Source organism: Homo sapiens, chromosome 19 (genome assembly GCF_000001405.40).
Source record: "Homo sapiens chromosome 19, GRCh38.p14 Primary Assembly".
Taxonomy (NCBI): domain Eukaryota; kingdom Metazoa; phylum Chordata; class Mammalia; order Primates; family Hominidae; genus Homo; species Homo sapiens.
In genome coordinates, this window is record NC_000019.10 from 8571930 (window position 1) to 8590538 (window position 18609).

The window sequence follows — 18609 nt, forward strand, 5'->3', positions numbered from 1 at the left end:
AGCCAGGATGGTCTCGATCTCCTGACTTCGTGATCCGCACGCCTCGGCCTCCTAAAGTATTGGGATTACAGGCGTAAGCCACCGCGCCTGGCCTTTATACGTGGGGACCCTTGTCTTTCTGGAGCTGGGCTCTTTGTCTCGTCGCTGGAGATTGCTGACAGTCGGTGGCTACCGTCTCAAACATCTCCACGCAGAAGCTGGAGCTGGGGAACCCTGGTCTTGTCCCTCCTGCTTTTTGGGGAAGATCCTCTGGGATGTGGTCCCCAACCCCCAAGACAGAAACCTGCCTGTCTCTGATTCATTGTTACGTTCACTCTTTGCATCCAATCAATTATGGGCATTTTTTTTTCCCCTCTGAGACAGAGTCTCGCTCTGTTGCCCAAGCTGGAGTGTAGTGGTGCGATCTCAGCTCACTGCAACCTCTGCCTCTCGGGTTCAAGCGATTCTGCTGCCTCAGCCTCCTGAGTAGCTGGGATTACAGGCACATGCCACCCCGCTTGGCTAATTTTTGTATTTTTAGTAGAGATGGGGTTTCACCATGGTGGCCAGACTGGTCTCGAACACCTGACCTCAAGTGATCCACCTGCCTCGGCCTCCTAAAGTGCTGGGATTACAGGTGTGAGCCACTGTGCCCGTGCCCAGTTAGTGGTCTTAACTGATTCTTTCTCCTAAATTCCTTTTGACTCCCAGCCTTTCCTGTCCATCCTCATGGCCACTGATTCTGGACCCAGCAGCCACTTCACTGGTCTCCCTGCTTTGTGGCTGTATCTTATTTATTTGTTTAGAAACAGAGTCTGTCTCTGTTGCTCAGGCTGGAGTGCAGTGGGGCCATCACAGCTCACTGCAGCCTGGAACTCCTGGGCTCAAGTGATCTTCCCACCTCAGCTTCCCAATTAGCTGGTACTACAGGTCCATGCCACCATGCCTGGCTAACTTTTAAATGCTTTGTAGAGATGGGGTATTGCCATGTCTCCCAGGCTGGTCTCGAACATCTGGCCTCAAGTGATCCTCCCACCTCCGTCTTCCAAACTGTTGGGATTACAGGCATGAGCCATTGTTCCTGGCCCTGTGACTGTACCTTAGAAACAATCACTATTGGCCAGGTGTGGTGGCTCACGCCTATAATCCCAGCACTTTGGGAGGCTGAGGCGGGCAGATCACGAGGTCAGGAGATCGAGACCATCCTTGCTAACACGGTGAAACCCCATCTCTACTAAAAAAATAGAAAAAAATTAGCCAGGCATGGTGGCGGGCGCCTGTAGTCCCAGCTACTCGGGAGGCTGAGGCAGGAGAATGGCATGAACCTAGGAGGTGGGGCTTGCAGTGAGCCAAGATCATGCCACTGCACTCCATCCTGGGTGACAGAGCGAGACTCTGTCTCAAAAAAAAAAGAAGAGACAATCACTATTATCCTCACATGACCACCATCACCAACCAAAGGCAACCAGTGAACGTCTTCACTCTCTCTCCTACCCTTCTCAAAGACAAACAGAAACTGCTGATAACTCCAATACCATCATGACTAGCCAATGTCAGACAGGTCCCATGAGCAATTCCAGCATCAGCCTTCCTTACATTCTCCCACGATCACCACCACCACCACCACCACGCTATAATAACCAACCACCATCTAGTCATCGGCCAGGCACAGTGGCTCACACCTGTAATCTCACACTTTGGGAGGCCAAAGCGGGTGGATCACTTGAGGTTAGGAGTTGGAGACCAGCCTGGCCAACATGGCGAAACCCCGTCTCCACTAAAAGCACAAAAATTAGCTGGGTGTGGTGGCAGGTGCTTGTAATCTCAGCTACTTGGGAGGCTGAGGCACGAGAATTGCTTGAAGCCAGGAGGTGGAGGTTGCAGTGAGCCGAGATTGCACCACTGCACTCCAGCCGGGGTGACAGAGCGAGACTCTGTCTCAGAAACAAAACAAAACAAAAAAACAATACTAGCCATCAACAACCACACATAACCAACTACCATTAGCAACCACAGAAAGCAGCAGTCACCAGTCCTATCCTGTTCAAAACCCAACATTGAACCAGCACCACCATTGCTGATCATCATCTTACCAGAAACCAACAATAAACTACCAGCAGCAAATGAACGCTACTACCAACACCTTTCCTCTCCAAATAACAGCAACCACCGATGGTCATCATTCCACTGGTCACCAAGCATCTCCAGAATTTCCAGCTGAAAACAATCCACCACCAACGAACAACATTAAACACCAACCGCCACCACCACCAGCCCACCTGCAAGAGCCATTATCACCACGAACCTGCAACAAGAAACAGCCACAACCACCACCACAACCAATGACACCAACAACCCAGCAATGACCACTCGCAGCAACTCCTCCCCAATTACCACAATCGTCACCTCCGTCCATCCTCATTGCTGAATCCAGAAATGAATGGACATCCCAGCTAATGGCAGCTACCATGGATCAAGTGCATGTTATGTGCTCTGTAAAGCAATGGTCCCCAACATTTTTGGCACCAGAGACCGGTTTAATGGAAGACAATTTTTCCATGGACCATGGAGCGGGGCATTAGATTTTCTTTTCTTTCTTTTCCTTTATTTCTTCTTTTTTCCCTTTCTTTCTTTCTTTCTTTCTTTCTTTCTTTCTTTCTTTCTTTCTTTCTCTCTCTCTCTCTCTCTCTTTCTTTCTTTCTTTCTTTCTTTCTTTCTTTCTTTCTTTCTTTCTTTCCTTTCTTTCTCTTTCTTCTTTCTCTCTTTCTTTCTTTCTTCCTTTCTCTTTCTCTCTTTCTTTCTTTTTCTTTCTCTTTCTTTCTTTCTTTTTCTTTCTTTCTTTCTCTCTCTCTTTCTTTTTTTTTTGAGATGGAGCCTCTCTCTGTGGCCCAGGCTGGAGTGCAGTGGCGTGATCTCGTCTCATTGCGACCTCTGCCTCCTGGGTTCAAGTGATTCTCCTATCTCAGGTTCCCGGGTAGCTGGGGTTACAGGCGCGCACCACCACGACTGGCTAATTTTTGTATTTTTAGTAGAGACAGGGTTTTGCCATGTTGGCCAGGCTGGTCTTGAACTCTTGACCTCAGGTGATCCGCCCACCTCGGCCTCCAAAAGTGTTGAGATTACAGGCATGAGCCACTGCACCCTGCCAACGGCATTAGATTTTCTTTTTCTTTTTTTTTTTTTTTTGAGACGGAGTCTGGCTCTGTCGCCGAGGCTGTAGTGCAATGGTGTGATCTTGGCTCACTGCAACCTCCGCCTCCCGGGTTCAAGCGATTCTCCTGCCTCAGCCTCCCGAGTAGCTAGGATGACAGGCATGTGCCACCACACCCAGCTCATTTTTGTATTTTTAGGAGAGACGGGGTCTCACCACGTTGGCCAGGATCGTTTCTATCTCTTGACTTCGTGATCTGCCCGCCTCGGCCTCCCAAAGTGCTAGGATTACAGGTGTGAGCCACCGCACCCGGCCGGGCATTAGATTGTCATAAGCAGCATGCAACCTGGATCCCTCGTGTGTGCAGTTCACAACAGGGTTTGCGATCCTGTGATAATCTAATGGCGCCCCCGAGAATCTGAGAGGAGGTGGAGCTCGGGCTTGCTTGCCTGCCACTCATCTCCTGCTCTGTGACCCGATAGGGCTCATGGTTTCTAACAGACAGACCATGGCCCGATAGCAGTCCATGACCCCGGGGGTTGGGGACCCTGTTGTAAAGGACTTCAGAAATACTGTTTCATTGAATCCTTCAGCGATCTTCCTGGCATTCACCACTCCTCCAGGAAGATTTCAGCATCCCCAGACAGAGGTGGGTGTCATTTTTTTCTCTTCTATCATCCTCTGCGATACGGGTGGCCCCTCCCAGACCTTGTCTGCCAAGCCGACTGTTGACTAAGCATTTTCAGAGGGCTTCCTTGGGGAGGGGTTGCCTTTCTTTCAAGTAGCAAATCACTTCCTGTGTTCTTTTGATCAAAGCCCTGCCCATCCCAGGACCTGAGCCTCCCTGGCTTGCTTCTCATCTTGGAAGAATTCCCACCCCAACAGTCTCAGAGCTCCAGCTGATGGTTTGGGTGTGAATTCCGGGATGCCCAATTTCTCATCAGCTTTCCTTTTTTGAGACGGAGTGTGCTCTGTCACCCAGGCTGGAGTGCAGCGGCAGGATCTCAGCTCACTGCACCCTCCGCCTCCTGGGTTCAAGTTATTCTCTTGCCTCAGCCTCATATGTAGCTGGGATTACAGGCGTGTGCCACCACGCCCAGTTAATTTTTTGTATTTTTTAGTAGAGACGAGGTTTCACCACGTTGGCCAGGCTGGTCTCGAACACCTGACCTCAAGTGATCTACCTGTCTCAGCCTCCTAAAATGCTGGGATTACAGGCATGAGCCACTGTCCCTGGCCCTCACTGGCTTCCTGAAAGAAGGTGTTGTCTCTCAGACTAACACCACCTCTGCCTCTTGCCCTATGTCCCTGACTCCACCCTAGTAAGCTGTACCTGCCAAGAATCCTGCAGTGGCCGCTGTCACAGCCACATGCTCTCATCCTCACTGACTGAATGACGAGAAATGAAAGCTGAAGTGGTCTACACAGCAGAGAGCTGTGGGGTGGGGTCAGCCCTGGCCACCTCTTACTTTGCGTCTTATGGTGGTACGATACTGCTAGGAATAGCGCCATGATCACGACAGTCTCCCCGTTGCTATCATCGACAGACCTCAGACTTGACAGGCAGCAACACCTCTGGCTGCCATCCTCCTCTTGGGATAAGGGATGCCCACCAAAGGGTGGCATGGACGTATTCAGCCTCTCCTGCCTCTGCTGCAGCCATACCGCCCGTCACCGGCACAGGGAGGGCGTCAATCCACCCCATCGCTTGTTAGACATAGCTTCCCATCTCAGCCGAGGACTCTGTGGCAGAACCCACAGACCTTGAGAATGTTGCAACTGAAAGACCCCTGAAGAGCAACTTCCGCATCTAGACGGATTTCCAAATATGACATCTGTGGGAACCGGGGCCAAGAGAGGGGAAGTGACTAGCCCAAGGCTACACAGGGAGACGAGAGACTGGGCTGGACTGGGAAAGGGCTCCCTTAATTTGCAAGCAAAGGAGGCTATGTCCTTGTCCCTGCAGACTCTGTGATTCTCCCTGGGCCACCTTCTGTCTTCCAGGTCCTGCCCTATCCTTGGATCCAGGGATACCACCCTGGCATCCCCACCACCTACAGATGGGAGCTTGCTCCCTGGTAAGGGATGCTGGAGGCACCTGAGCTGCACTGAGAGACACCCCACCCCCACAGAAGTCCACCATGCCCCTCCCCTCACCCCAATTTCTGATGGTCATTTTTAGGACACCTCCACCTGGCTGGTGTCCCTCCTCTTTCTTCTTCCAGATCCCACCCTTGAAGGACTTACCATGGTGGGGGGCTGGTGTCTGGGCTCCTGGAGGCTCCTGAATGGGTCGTGATGGAGGTGCAGGTTCAGGGGGATCTTGGGGGTGGCTTGGGCATGGCCCTGCTTCTGCCCGTTCACCGGACTCCCGGCTTTAGTTCCTCTTACAACAGCCCCTTCTCACTTCCTTTGGCGGGAGGGGCCGAGGCCATGGGGGAGGGAAGCTGGGTGTGGAGGGGGGCGGGGAGCTGGCTGTTTGGGGCTCTGAGCCTGAAGGGAGGGGTCAGAACTTGATGGCAGCCACTACTGGACCTCAGAGGCCTCTTCCCCAACTCCTTGGGGACAGGGCTGCTGCAGGAACATTTGGGTCAGCTGGCTGCAGGACGAACCACCTCTTTTCAGGGCGATTCAGGAAGCATTTGGGCTTCCCGGGTCTCTTTTTAAAACCAAGGAAGGGGCCCAGGGGAGGTGGCTCACGCCTGTAATCCCAATACTTTGGGGGGCCAAGGTTGGAGGATCGCTTGAGTCCAGGAGTTTGAGACCAGCCTGGGCTATATAGCATGACCCCATCTCTACAAAAAATGAAAAGAAAAAAAATTAGCTGGGCATGGTGGCATGAGCCTGCAGTCCCAGCTACTCAGAGGGCTGAGGTGGGAGGATTGCTTGAACCTGGGAGGTGGAGGCCTCAGTGAGCCCTGATTGCGCCACTGCACTCCAGCCTGGGCGAAAGAGTGAGACCCTGTCTCTAAAAACAAACCAGAAAAAACAAAAAAACCAAAAAAACAACAACAACAGGGAAGGGTGCCTTCTTCAGCTGTGTCTGCTCTGGGCATCCCTGGGCAACCTCCTTCATTATTATTATTGTTATTATTTTGAGACGGAGTCTAGCTCTGTCACCCAGGCTAGAATGCAGTGGTGCAATCTCAGCTTACTTTAATCTCCGCCTCCTGGGTTCAAGCGATTCTCCTGCCTCAGCCTCCTGAGTAGCTGGGATTACAGGTGCCCACCGCCACACCTGGCTAATATTTGTATTTTTAGTAGAGACGGAATTTCGCCATGTTGGCCAGGCCGGCCTTGAACTCCTGACCTCAGGTGATCCTCCCAACTCGGCCTCCCAAAGTGCTGGGATTACAGGCATAAGCCACCACGCCTGGCCCAACCTCCCTCTTTAGATGACCCTCAGAAGTCACACGTGTTTGTGTGCAGAAGTGGAGGGTACTGGGAAGCAGGTGCATCTGAAAGGTCCCTGACTTTGGATGTCACATCTAGATTTAACAGCCTCCAGTTTGGCTACTTCCTGGATGACTTAGTTACTCCCTTTTCTCATTGTAAAATGGGAACGTGGGTCCCCCCAGCAGAGCCTGGCCCAGGTACGTGTCAGCCTATGAGCTGGTCTTTGGGACACCAGCCAACCACCTGAGGCTCCTCTTGACATGTGAGGAAATGGCAGTTCTAATAGGTTGTTACTTCCCCACACCACCCAGCAAGGAGGTGGCCGAGGCAGGACCCGACCCTGGGAGACCCTGGGGGACCCATGTTCAGATCTATCTTTGGTCCAGGGCGATAAACCCGCATCCCCCTTGAAGATGTTAATATGCAGCGCCCCTAGTGGCCACAGCTGGGAAGGAGCCCGTCTCTGCTGGAATCTCCTGAGCGAGTTTGCAGAATTGACGGGCTTGGGGCATGCAATTCTCAGCAATGTCTCCAGGCACTCAAGAGTGAATATGAATGGGTAAGAGGACCCCACTTTGTTGGGGGCCATCAGGGGAGGCTTCTAGGAAGAGGCAACGTTTGTGCTGACACCGGCGAGTAAGCTGGAGTTAAAAAAGGTAAAGGGGCAGGAGCGTGCACCTGGCCATGCTAAGCGCTCAAGCAAAGGCCCAGATATGGGAAAACCATAGGGCAATTGAGGAAGTTCGGGGAGGCTGGTGTGGCTGGAGCATGCGGAGTGACGGAGAGTGTGATGGCCAGGGTGGCAGGTGCTAGACCGTGTGGCTTTAAGAGCCTCTGTGAGGGCCAGGCATGGTGGCTGATGCCTGTAATCCCAGAACTTTGGGAGGCTGAGGTGGGAGGATCGCTTGAGCCCAGGAGTTCCAGACCAGCTTGGGCAACATAGCAAGACCTCGTCTCTACAAAAAATTAAAAAATCAGCTAGGTGTGCTGTTGCACCTATAATCTCAGTTACTTGGCAGGGTAGGCAGGAGAATCGTTTAAGCCCAGGAGTTCAAGGCTGCAGTGAGCTGAGATCGTGCCACTGAACTCCAGCCTGGGCTACAGAGTGAGACCCTGTCTCAAAAAACAAAAACAAAAAAGCAAAACCCTTCCACGAGAAGCTGTTGTACTTTTCTCCTAAAATCCCTGGGTTCCTGTCTGCAATGTTAAAAGTCCCCTTCTGGCTGGGCACGGTGGCCCATGCCTGTAATCCCAGCACTCTGGGAGGCCGAGGCGGGCAGATCACGAGGTCAGGAGATCGAGACCATCCTGGCTAACACGGTGAAACCCCGTCTCTACTAAAAAAGTACAAAAAATTAGCTGGGCATGTTGGCGGGCGCCTGTAGTGCCAGCTACTCGGGAGGCTGAGGCGAGAATGGCATGAACCCAGGAGGCGGAGCTTGCAGTGAGCCGAGATCGTGCCACTGCACTCCAGCCTGGGCAACAGTGCAAGACTCCGTCTCAAAAAAAAAAAAAAATAAAAAAAAAAAATAAATAAATCAGCTGGGTGTGGTCGTGCACGCCTGTAGTCCCAGCTATTCAGAAGGTGGAAGTGGGAGGATCACTTGAGTCCAGGAGATCAAGGCTGCAGTGAGCTATGATAGGCATAGCTGGGCGACAGGGACCGTCTCAGGAAAAAAAAAAAAGAAGTCCCCTTTTGGCTGTTGGGTAGACCTGGGAGAATGGGTGGTCCTTTCCAGACCTGGGTGGGGGCTACTGGATGCACTGACACACACACACCGCAATTCGTAGAAATCTACACAAGACAGAACTTTATTGATGTAGGGCTTCCTGGCAGGAGTGTGTGGGCCCCAGGGCAGGGTCTGTAGCACCATGAGGGGGTGGCCTGGATGTCGGGGTGCCCCTGGGGCGGGCAGGGCAGAGGTTGGGGTGGATCCTCCCCCTAGTCAGGTCAGGGGAGGGTGTCAGGGAGGTGGTGCTACCCCCCCCCCTCCCATAGCAGACACAGATTCCCCCCCAGCTCGGAGTGGAGGGGTAGGGCAGTGCTGGGGGGCAGGGCACCGGCAGACCACCTCCCCACCCCTACTCTTCACAGTACATATTCCGATCAAAGGAGGGGGGGAGTGTTGGGGACTCCCTAAGGGTGGGTTCAAAGGGTGCTGGGGTGAACAGCTGTCCCCTCCCCAGACCCACCCTGGAGGGGGGGTCTCACTATGTGAACTGGAAGGGGCGGATGCTGAAGAGGGGCTCTGGGGGGATAGCCAGCCCCTCTCCATCCCCCCAGCCAGGGCCCTGCAGGGGTTCCCAATAAATAACTTCCGGCTCCGTCTCACCCTTCCCTCCCAGTTCCCGCCCCCCCGGGGCCCCCTCTGGCCGGCCCGCTGCAGGGCTGGCGGCGGAGACCCCGCCAGCTGTGGCTCCGGGTGCCGCGCGCCCCCTAGTGGCCATGGCAGGTTTTGCAGCACATCTGGCGGAAGTAGGCTCGGCTGCAGAACTGAAATTTGAGCACCAGGGGGCAGTAGGCGACCTTGTTCACATCCTTGCACTCTGCGGGGACGGGAGAAGGAAGGAAAAATCAGGTCTCAGCTGCCCTCCCCGCAGGGCTGCACACACGACCTGCAGTGCTTCCTGGCCAGTGACTTTCTGTGCCTTGGTTTCTTTCTTTTTAAATTTACTTTTTTTTTTTTTTTTTTTTTTTTTTTTTACAGATGTTATCTTGCTATGTTGACCAGGCTGGTCTCCACCTCTTGAGCTCAAGTGATCCTCTCACCTCAGCCTCCTAAGTAGTTGGGACTACAGGTGTGAGCAAACCACGCCTGACTTCTGTGCCTTAGTTTCCTCAACTATCAAAGGGGGCTTATAATAGCACCGATGTCACTAGGCTGTTTTGAGGATTTAAGAGAGAGAGTGTAGGGTTGGGGGCCAACACAGACACATTAGTAATGAGAAAAGGGCCGGGTACAGTGTATCATGCCTGTAATCCCAGCACTTTGGGAGACCAAGGCAGGAGGACTGCTTGAGCCCAGGAGTTTGAGACCAGCCTGGGCAACATAGTGAGAGCACTGCATCTACAAAAACTAATTAAAAGAAAAAAATAGGCTGGGCATGGTGGCTCATGCCTGTAATCTCAGCACTTTGGGAGGCCGAGGCAGGTGGATCACTTCAGGTCGGGAGTTTGAAACCAGCCTGGCCAACGTGATCAAACCCCATCTCTACTAAAAATATAAAAATTAGCTGGGCGTGGTGGCGGGTGCCTGTAATCCCAGCTACTCGACAGCCTGAGGCAGGAGAATTGCCTGAACCCGGGAGGCAGAGGTTTCAGTGAGCCGCGATTGCACCACTGTACTCCAGCCTGGGAGACAGAGCGAGACTCTGTCACAAAACAAAACAAAAAAACAAAAAAACAAAAAAAAAAAAAAGGAAAAATTAGCCGGGTGTTGTGGCATGTGCCTGTAGTCCCAGCTACTCAAGAGGCTGAGGCTGGAGGATCGCTTGAGCCCAGGAGGTGGAGGCTGCAGTGAGCTATGATGGCACCACTGCACTCTAGCCTGGGCGACAGAGCGAGACCCTGTCAAACAAACAAACAAACAAACAAACAAACACGACCCAATAAAACAAAAGAAGACAAATATTCCCTTTCCTTTCCATTGTTCCTTTTCATAGCACCCAGGAAAAAATGTCCATTTGGGGCTGTAATCCTCACTCGTTTTCTTTTTTAATAAAGTGAAGATAGGCCGGGCATGGTGGCTCACGCCTGTAATCACAGCACTTTGGGAGGCTGAGTCGGGCGGATCATGAGGTCAGGAGATCGAGACCATCCTGGCTAACATGGTGAAACCCCGTCTCTACTAAAAATACAAAAATTAGCCGGGCGTGGTGGCAGGCGCCTGTAGTCCCAGCTATTCAGGAGGCTGAGGCAGGAGAATGGCGTGAACCTGGGAGGTGGAGCTTGCAGTGAGCGGAGATTGCATCACTGCATTCCAGCCTGGGCGACAGTGAGACTCCGTCTCAAAACAAAGCAAAACAAAAACAAACAAAACAAAACCTGAAGCTCTTGAGTCCCAGCTGAGTGGGTGAGTCAGGGTATTTTTCAGAACATTGACTATTTTGTGTGATCATGATGTCTGTTGATGACTATGGATGGATATGAGCTTCCATCTAGCGGCCAGTGATTTATGGCAGGACCAGGGGCGAATTAAAAGCTACAGATGGATTTTTTTTTTTTTTTTGGTCGCCCAGGCTGGAGTGCAGTGGCACAATCTTGGCTCACTGCAACCTCCACCTCCTGGGTTCAAGAGACACTCCTGCCTCAGCCTCCCGAGTAGCTGGGATTACAGGCACATGCCACCACCCCTGTCTAATTTTTGTATTCTTAGTAGATCTGGGGTTTCGCCATGCTGGCCAGGTTAGTCTCAAACTCCTGACCTCAGGTGATCTGCCCACCTTGGCCTCCCATTGTGTTGGGATTACAGGCGTGAGCCACCACGCCCAGCCTAATTTTATTTTTTGTAGATACAGGTGTCTTACTATGTCTCTCAGGCTGGTCTCCAACTCCTGGGCTCAGGCAATCTTTCCAGTTCAGCCTCCCAAAGTGCTGGGATTACAGGCATGAGCCACCTCGCCCGGCCTGGGTGGATCATTTTATTGCATCTCCCTTCTGGGGCACCCCTCAAGTGAATATATCATTTACATCCCGTGACAGATAAAGAAACAAAAACACAGAGGTGGAAGATGAACCCAGGTAGTTTGGTTGCAGTGCCCAGACTAAGGAATTAATTGTTCTCTATCAAAAATAAATTTATGGACCTGGCGCGGTGGCTCATGCCTGTAATCCCAGCACTTTGGGAGGCCAAGGCGGGCAGATCACCTGAGGTCAGGAATTCGAGACCAGCCTGGCCAATATGGTGAAACCCCATCTCTACTAAAAATACAAAAATTAGCTGGTCATGGTGGCACGTGCCTGTAATCCCAGCTGCTCAGGAGGCTGAGGCAGGAGAATCACTTGTACCCAGGAGGTGGAGGTTGCAGTGAGCTGAGATCATGCCACTGCACTACAGCCTGGGTGACAGAGTGAGACTTTGTCTCAAAACAAGAAAAAAAAAAATTTACAGCCAGGCGCAGTGGCTCACGCCTGTAATCCCAGCACTTTGGGAGGCCGAGGCGGGTGGATTACTTGAGGCCAGGAGTTCAAGACCAGCCTGGGCTACATAGAAAAACCCCGTCTCTATCAAAGAATACAAGAATACAAAAATTAACTGGGCACTGTGGCTCTTGCCTGTAGTCCTTGGGGAGACTTGGGGCTGAGACAGGAGGATCGCTTGAGCCTGGGAGGTGGAGGTTGCAGTGAGCCGAGATCGCTCTACTGCACTCCAACGTGGGTGACAAAGTGAGTCCCGGTCTCAAAAATAAATAAGTAAATAAGGCTGGGCATGGTGGCTCACGCCTTTAATCCCAGCACTTTGGGAGGCCAAGGCCGGCGGATCACAAGGTCAGGAGTTTGAGACCAGCCTGGCCAACATGGTGAAACCCTGTCTCTACTAAAAATACAAAAATTAGCTGGGTGTGGTGGCGGGCACCTGTACTCCCAGCTACTCAGCAGGCTGAGGCAGGAGAATCGATTGAACCCAGGAGGCGGAGGTTGCAGTGAGCCGAGATCAGGTCACTGCACTCCAGCCTGGGTGACAGCGAGACTCCATCTCAAAAAAAAAAAAAAAAAAAAAAAGTAAATAAAAAAATAAAAAAAATTACCTAGGCAGAAAAAAATGTGTATACTTAAAAGCAGTGGTTCTCAAGGGAAGTGATCGATTTTGACCCCCAGGGGACATTGGGCAATGTCTGGAGACGTTTTTAGTTGTCATAACTTGGGAGAAGGCTGCTACTGGCACCCAGTGGGTAGAAGCCGGGGATGCTGCTGAACATCTTACAGGCTGGCACAAATCCCAGCACTTTGGGAGGCTGAGGTGGGAGGATCGCTTGAGCCCAGGAGTTGGAGACCAGCCTGAGTAACACAGCAAGACCCCATCTCTCCAAAAAAGAAAAACAAACAAACAAAAAACCCTACAATGTGCTGGACAGCTCCCCACGGCAATCATCTAGCTCAAAATGTCACTAGTGCCTGAGGTTGAAAAACCGATTTAAAGGAAAAATATTCAGGAAATTGTGCTACAGGTGGAGATGAATAGGTACAGGTTATGAAAGTGACTGGGGAAATGTCACAAGTTTGGGTGCACAGAAGGGTCAGGTGCCTGAAACACTCAGCATACAGTGGCACTTAATAAATGCTTGCAGGGAGGGGATGGTGAAGGATGGCCTGGCAGAGACACAGCAATGCATTTCCGAGGTTCCAGAAGTTCTAGGATGAAGTCAGGACCCCCAATGCCCTCTGTGGCTGCCTCTGGCCAGGACCCTCCTGGCGCACCCTGGCTGGTCACCCACATACCTTCAGGGCCGTCCCCGGGGGTTGGGCTGTCGCACTTGGCCTCACACTGCTGCGTGGTGGGCGGCCGCAGGGCCTCCGTGCACTCGTGCGACGCCTGGCCCGTGTGGCTGGTGCAGCGCACCGAGCGCTGCCGCTGCCCGACGCCGCACTGTGCAGAGCACTGCGAGGGGGCACCACTCAGTTGCTGCCCCGCAGCCCCTGCCCTGGCCCCCACCCCTCTGGGGCGCGCCCTCCTACCTCACCCCACTCGCCAGCCACCCAGCGGGCCGGGGGGCAGCGGCGCAAGTTGCAGCGCATGGTGGCCGGTGGCTTGGCGGCGGGTGAGCAGTGCGCCGGGGGCAGCGTGGCGCGGTGGTCTGCGCTCTTGCAAAGGACCACGCGGTGGCGGAGGCCCGGCCCGCAGCTGGGGGTGCACTGCAGTTGGAAGGGGCGTTTCGTGCTCAGGGTGCTGCCCCAGTGCGAAGTGAGGAGGGGACAGCTAACCTGGAGACCGCGCAGAGGCGTCTCCGTGGACACCCCACCTGGGCATCCCAGTGGGCGCGAAGGAAGGGGGCGGCTGACCTCAGACCAGTCGAGGGCCGCCCACTCCGGAGGGCAAGTGGGGCCGTGGCAGGCCTCCAGTACAGGTGGGCGCGGCTGCGGGCATGCGCTGTCGTCCAGCGCCTTCTCCTCCGCGGCAGAGACGCGGCGCTGGCACACGACCGAGCGGCTGCGCACGCCTGCATCGCAGCTGCGGCTGCAGAGCGACCAGTTCCCTACAACCCAGCTGTAAGAGATGAAGGGGTCTGAGCAAGTAAGCAGGGCAGGGGGTCCCAACACAACAGCAGGGGGCACTATAGCCTACCCCCACCCTTCCAATCACCCAGCCTCATATGGAAACTGGCACCAGGCACCTCCACATTCCACACTTGGGGCATCGTTAGCCTGCACCCAGACTGGGGGCAGAGAGGTGCATTACCCTAAGGAGAAATAAATCTTTGGACAATGCGAGTGACCAGGCAGCGCCATCATTCTGACTCCAGGGCCATGCAGCTTTGACCGCCACCTTGGGGGCACTATTACCTTGGACTCCCCCATAACTCCTATAGAACCATCACTGCAGCACTCGGCCCACTGTCACTCCGACTCTGCACTAATCTGCTCCCCACCCCCCTGGAGCACTCGCTCTTGACTCCAGGGAGTACTCTCCTCTCACCCTGAGCAACACTGCCCCCTGGCGGCACTCACTCTGGAGGGCAAGGCTCCGTGTTGCAGGCGCGCTGCCTTTTGGGCAGCTTGCTGTGGGCACTGCAGTAGTGGGGGGCGACCGCGGAGCTGTCCAGCTGGTTGCGGCACTCCACCGCCTGCACCTGGCTACCTGGAGGGGAGGGTGAGAGGCCTGCTCAGCCCCTCCCGGCCCAGAGAACCTCAGCCCAGGTATCTTGTGCCTTCCCCCACCCCCGGCCTCACCGCCTGCACACTGGGCCGAGCACTTGGTCCAGGGCGCATAGTGCCAGGAGTAGGGGGGCAGCGAGTCACGGGCGATGGGGGCATTGAAGCGGTAGCGGAGGGCAGGCAGCTCGGTCCGGGCCAGCACCTGGAGAAAGGGGGCGGCAGCCAGTGGAAGGATCGCATGGAGTCTCTAATTCCAAAGGCTGCACCTTGCCCCCAGTCTCCCTGTTACCATGACGATGAGAGATGCATTAATCGGTCCCAGGGCTTCGAGGCTCTGGACCTGGTCTGGCCCCTGTCGCAGTTGAAAGGTGGTCCCAGCTAGAGGCAGACGGTGGGGCTGGGGGGTCCCAGGCAGCCCCTCCAGCAGCAGGGACTCCTGGTCTCCCTTCAGGGCTGGGGGACGATGCAGGGTTCAGAATTCTAGTCATGCTGAAACCGCCCTCCCCACTGACCCCTAATCCTCATCCCCTCCCCACCATCTGCTCACCCAAGTGACTGAGAGAGAGGTTCAGATCCTGGATGAAGATGTGGACGGAGCCTTTGGGAATCCAGACGACATCCTCGTACCCTGAACAGCAGAGCTCAGATGTCACCCACTTGGCATGTCCCCAACACCTGCCTGCCTCCCCTGTCCCCGGCCCATGAGGATAACAGCTAACTATTACTGCGCTAAACACACATCTAACTGCACCCCTGCCCCACCCTTGTGAACCAGGTGTTTCATTATCCCCATTTTAGGGCTGACAAAACTGAGGCTCAGAGAAGCTAAGGAACTTGACCAGGTTTTACAGCTAGGAAATGACTGGGTTAGGATTTTTCTTTCTTTCTTTCTTTCTTTTTTTTTTTTGGAGACAGGATGTCTCTGTTGCCCAGGCTGGAGTGCAGTGAAGTGATCTTGGCTTGCTACAGCCTCAGACTCCTAGGCTTAGGTGATCCTCCCACCTCAGCCTCTGGAGTAGCTGGGACTACAGGCGTGAGCCACCACACCTGGCTAACTAAAAAACCTTTTTTTTTTTTTTTTTTTTTTTGTAGAGTTGGGGGTCTCCTTAAGTTGCTCAGGCTGGTCTCAAACTCCTGGGCTCAAGTGATCCTCTTGCCTCAGCCTCCCAAAGTGCTGGGAGCACCGGTATGAGCCTGGCCAGCTTTTTTTTTTTTTCAGACAGGATCTCACTCTGTCACCCAGGTTGGAGTGCAGTGGTGCGATCATAGGTTACTGCAGCCTTGACCTCCTGGGCTCAAGGGATCCTCCTGCCTCTCAGCCTCTCGAGCAGCTGGAACTACAGGTGTACACCACCACACCCGCCTAATTAAAAGAATTTTGTAGCCGGGCACAGTGGTCACGCCTATAATCCCAGCACATTGGGAGGCTGAGGCGGGCAGATCATGAGGTCAGGAGATTGAGACCAACCTGGCTAACACGGTGAAACCCCATCTCTACTAAAAATACAAAAAATTAGCCAGGCGTGGTGGCGGGCTCCTGTAGTCCCAGCTACTTGGGAGGCTGAGGCAGGAGAATGGCATGAACCTGGTAGGTGGAGCTTGCAGTGAGTTGAGATGGCACCACTGCACTCTAGCCTGTGTGACAGAGCGAGACCCCATCTCAAAAAAAAAAAAAAAAAAAAGAATTTTGTAGAGTTTGGCCGGGTGTGGTGGCTCACACCTGTAATCCTAGCACTTTGGGAGGCTTAGGTGGGTGGATCGCTTGAGGTCAGGAGTTCCAGGCCAGCCTGGCCAATATGGTGAAACCCCATCTCTTCTAAAGATACAAAAATTAGCCGGGCATGTAGTGCATGTCTGTAGTCTCAGCTACTTGGGATGGTGAGGCAGGAGAATTTCTTGAACCTGGGAGGCAGAGGTTGCAGTGAGCCGAGATCAAGCCACTGCATTCTAGCCTGGGTGACAGATTGAGACTCTGTCTCAAAAAAAATTTTTTTTTTTGTAGAGTTGGGGTCTCCCTAGGTTGCCCAGGCTGGTCTCAAACTCCTGGGCTCAAGGGATCCTCCCGCTTCAGCCTCCCAAAGCCCTGGGATTACAGGTGTGAGCCACCGTGCCTGTCTCACTTTTGATGCCAGCGGCCAGGCTGCTTATTATAAAACCCCAATGGGACTCTACCTGGGGACTGAAACTCACACTCTGCAACCTACTCCTGCCTCACCTGGACACACTCCCTCCCTCTGACAGTGCCTACGGCTTCCTCAGCCTTCCAGATATTTCCTGAGCCTCCTCCCCTCTTGCCCACTCCCTGGGCTCTCTGTCACTTGCCCAAAGCCCAAGCTGGAAAAGGTGCTTTCTACATTCTCTGAATATCCCCTCCCGTAGTAAGCCTTTCCCTGCTAGCACAGAACATTCATTCTCGCAGCTCCTCTGGCTCACAGAGGATGGAAAGTGATGCTTGCTTCCACCCAGACGTGGCATGAGCTTCTCCAGGAGGCAGAGGAGACAGATTCGGGCTCCTGTCTCCTGAGACACTCTTTTTTTTTTGAGACAGAGCCTCGCTCTGTCGCCCAGACTGGAGTGCAGTGGTGTGATCTCGGCTCACTGCAACCTCCACCTCCCAGGTTCAAGCAGTTCTCGTGCCTCAGCTTCCTGAGTAGCTGGGATTACAGGTGCTCGCCACCACGCCCAGCTAATTTTTGTATTTTTAGTAGAAACAGGGTTTCACCATGTTGGCCAGGCTGGTCTCAAACTCCTGGCCTCAAGTGATCATCCTGCCTCGGCCTCCAAAAGCGATGGGATTATAGGCTTGAGCCACTTCACCTGGCTGAGCCCGCAGGACTTTTGGGGACTCCTGACACTCCACGGGGCCCCTGGGGTCTGAGGAGTTAGTGATCTCAGCTACTGCACTGGGATCAGTTCCACCTGCAGTCAGCTGGCCCATGCAGGGAGTGTGGGAGGGAAGCTGGAGACTCTCACCGGCCCCAGGTGAGGCTGGGCTGAAGACGCCCTCGATGGTCTCGCAGGCACTGCCGTCACCGCCACACACTCGGCACTTGTCCTCCCGCAGGTCGGAGCCCAGGACTCGGTCGCAGCCCACGTGCTGCGTGGAGAAGGCGTGAGTGAGGCGACCCCCTAACCCACCCCCGCTCCCCATCCCCTCTCCACCTCCCTGGGAGTCCCCTCCACCTTGCATTCGCCACTGACGCAAATGTCCACCGTGTCTGGACGGCAGGGTGTCCCGTCCACCACGGCTGCCGCCCTCTCCGTGTAGAAGTTGAAGCCTTCCGCTAGGCACGTGAGCGAGCAGGCCTTCACGCCCCCTGGGGGGCACGGCCCCGTCACACCACGGGCCAGGCCACCCCGGAACTCTTTGCTTGCTCCCTGGGGGAGTGAGGCCAAGAGGGACAGACCCCAGACCCAAGAGGAAGGGCAGCTTGGGCAGAGGGAGTGGGGGCTCCCAGCGTCACGTTGAACCCCCATGGTACCGTATCCCAGGTACTCTGTCTCCCCGGGTGGGGACAGGGCTCAGGGCAGACCCCGGGATGCTGCATTCATCCACCTGCTGCTGGACACTCCCACGGCTGCCCTTCACGGCCCCACAGCCTTTGGAGTCCCACACTCACCTCCCCGGTACGTTTTCCACTTGTAGAATTTCCCACGGAAAGGGATGCTGTCAAATTCAGAACACTGCACTTCTCTGAAGTCCTGGGAGCCAGGGGGACAGTCCTGGGGGCAGGAGAGGAGAGATGGAGGGAGGCCAGGCTTGGGGGGATGGAGTCAGAAAAGGGGTGCTCAGAGAAAGATGGGCTGGAGGAGGGAGGCTAGAGGCAGGGAGGCCAGGGAGGAGGCTGTGGTGGTCTGCGTGAGACTAGGCCTGGAAGGTAGCCTGGGCTGGGCGTGTAGACACATCTGGGATAGGACTGGATCCCTCATTAGAGGTCTGAGGGTGAGCTGGGCAGGACACACCTGGGTTTCTGGTTCCAGGCTATGGAATCTTTCTTGCTTGCTTGCATTTTTTTTCTTTTTTGAGACAGAATCTCACTCTGTCGCCCAGGCTGGGGTACAGTGCATGATCTTAGCTCATTGCAACCTCCATCTCCTGGGTTCAAGCAATTCTTCTGCCTCAGCCTCCCGAGTAGCTGGGATTACAGGTGCATGCCACTATGCCTGGCTAATTTTTGCATTATTTATTTATTTATTTATTTATTTTTAGACAGAGTTTCGCTCTCGTTGCCCTAGTTGGAGTGCAGTGACACAATCTCGGCTCACTGCA

The 18609-nt window shown here is 54.1% G+C and overlaps 2 protein-coding genes across 22 annotated transcripts in view, besides 9 other annotated features; both read right to left on the reverse strand.

Annotated features, from left to right (window-relative positions):
* MYO1F (myosin IF) overlaps window positions 1–5513 on the reverse strand; it is a 56665-nt gene extending 51152 nt beyond the window's left edge. For all 14 annotated transcript variants that reach the window (NR_199720.1, NR_199722.1, NR_199721.1 and 11 more), the window contains exon 1: window positions 5378–5513. Coding sequence is in view for 10 of the 14 variants with exons in the window: in NM_001348355.2 (NP_001335284.1) it covers window positions 5378–5380 (3 nt within the window). In the remaining 4 variants the exon portion in view is untranslated. The remainder of the gene's footprint in view (window positions 1–5377) is intronic.
* Window positions 3958–4017: an enhancer, noted in NCBI's record as "active region_13921". NCBI's record gives its function as "activates an Ori minimal core promoter by ATAC-STARR-seq in GM12878 lymphoblastoid cells {active_cell/tissue: GM12878}" and the evidence as "EXISTENCE:reporter gene assay evidence [ECO:0000049][PMID:35858748]".
* Window positions 4358–4417: an enhancer, noted in NCBI's record as "active region_13922". NCBI's record gives its function as "activates an Ori minimal core promoter by ATAC-STARR-seq in GM12878 lymphoblastoid cells {active_cell/tissue: GM12878}" and the evidence as "EXISTENCE:reporter gene assay evidence [ECO:0000049][PMID:35858748]".
* Window positions 4588–4767: an enhancer, noted in NCBI's record as "active region_13923". NCBI's record gives its function as "activates an Ori minimal core promoter by ATAC-STARR-seq in GM12878 lymphoblastoid cells {active_cell/tissue: GM12878}" and the evidence as "EXISTENCE:reporter gene assay evidence [ECO:0000049][PMID:35858748]".
* Window positions 4888–4937: a silencer, noted in NCBI's record as "silent region_10032". NCBI's record gives its function as "represses an Ori minimal core promoter by ATAC-STARR-seq in GM12878 lymphoblastoid cells {active_cell/tissue: GM12878}" and the evidence as "EXISTENCE:reporter gene assay evidence [ECO:0000049][PMID:35858748]".
* Window positions 5475–5624: a silencer, noted in NCBI's record as "silent region_10033". NCBI's record gives its function as "represses an Ori minimal core promoter by ATAC-STARR-seq in GM12878 lymphoblastoid cells {active_cell/tissue: GM12878}" and the evidence as "EXISTENCE:reporter gene assay evidence [ECO:0000049][PMID:35858748]".
* Window positions 6845–7039: a silencer, noted in NCBI's record as "fragment chr19:8643658-8643852 (GRCh37/hg19 assembly coordinates)". NCBI's record gives its function as "represses an EF-1alpha promoter that drives an FKBP-Casp9 reporter gene in an ReSE screen in HepG2 liver carcinoma cells {active_cell/tissue: HepG2}" and the evidence as "EXISTENCE:reporter gene assay evidence [ECO:0000049][PMID:32094911]".
* ADAMTS10 (ADAM metallopeptidase with thrombospondin type 1 motif 10) overlaps window positions 8311–18609 on the reverse strand; it is a 30476-nt gene continuing 20177 nt past the window's right edge. For 4 of the 8 annotated variants that reach the window (XM_047439480.1, XM_047439481.1, XM_047439483.1 and 1 more), the window contains 10 exons: window positions 17960–18062; window positions 17523–17656; window positions 17313–17436; window positions 14887–14967; window positions 14629–14792; window positions 14415–14541; window positions 14193–14322; window positions 13203–13731; window positions 12966–13125; window positions 8311–9073 (listed from right to left, as the gene is read on the reverse strand). In XM_047439480.1, the coding sequence (XP_047295436.1) occupies window positions 8964–9073; window positions 12966–13125; window positions 13203–13731; window positions 14193–14322; window positions 14415–14541; window positions 14629–14792; window positions 14887–14967; window positions 17313–17436; window positions 17523–17656; window positions 17960–18062 (1662 nt within the window). In that variant the 3' untranslated portion in view covers window positions 8311–8963. Of the gene's footprint in view, window positions 9074–12965; window positions 13126–13202; window positions 13732–14192; window positions 14323–14414; window positions 14542–14628; window positions 14793–14886; window positions 14968–17312; window positions 17437–17522; window positions 17657–17959; window positions 18063–18609 lie in introns of those variants that run through there. The other 4 variants (XM_017027338.3, NM_030957.4, NM_001282352.2 and 1 more) reach the window with 3 other exon arrangements.
* Window positions 8851–8900: a silencer, noted in NCBI's record as "silent region_10034". NCBI's record gives its function as "represses an Ori minimal core promoter by ATAC-STARR-seq in GM12878 lymphoblastoid cells {active_cell/tissue: GM12878}" and the evidence as "EXISTENCE:reporter gene assay evidence [ECO:0000049][PMID:35858748]".
* Window positions 12648–13227: an enhancer, noted in NCBI's record as "H3K4me1 hESC enhancer chr19:8649461-8650040 (GRCh37/hg19 assembly coordinates)". NCBI's record gives its function as "activates a minimal SCP1, AML or CMV promoter by ChIP-STARR-seq in naive H9 embryonic stem cells {active_cell/tissue: H9 hESC(naive)}" and the evidence as "EXISTENCE:reporter gene assay evidence [ECO:0000049][PMID:30033119]".
* Window positions 14385–14962: an enhancer, noted in NCBI's record as "OCT4-H3K4me1 hESC enhancer chr19:8651198-8651775 (GRCh37/hg19 assembly coordinates)". NCBI's record gives its function as "activates a minimal SCP1, AML or CMV promoter by ChIP-STARR-seq in primed H9 embryonic stem cells {active_cell/tissue: H9 hESC(primed)}" and the evidence as "EXISTENCE:reporter gene assay evidence [ECO:0000049][PMID:30033119]".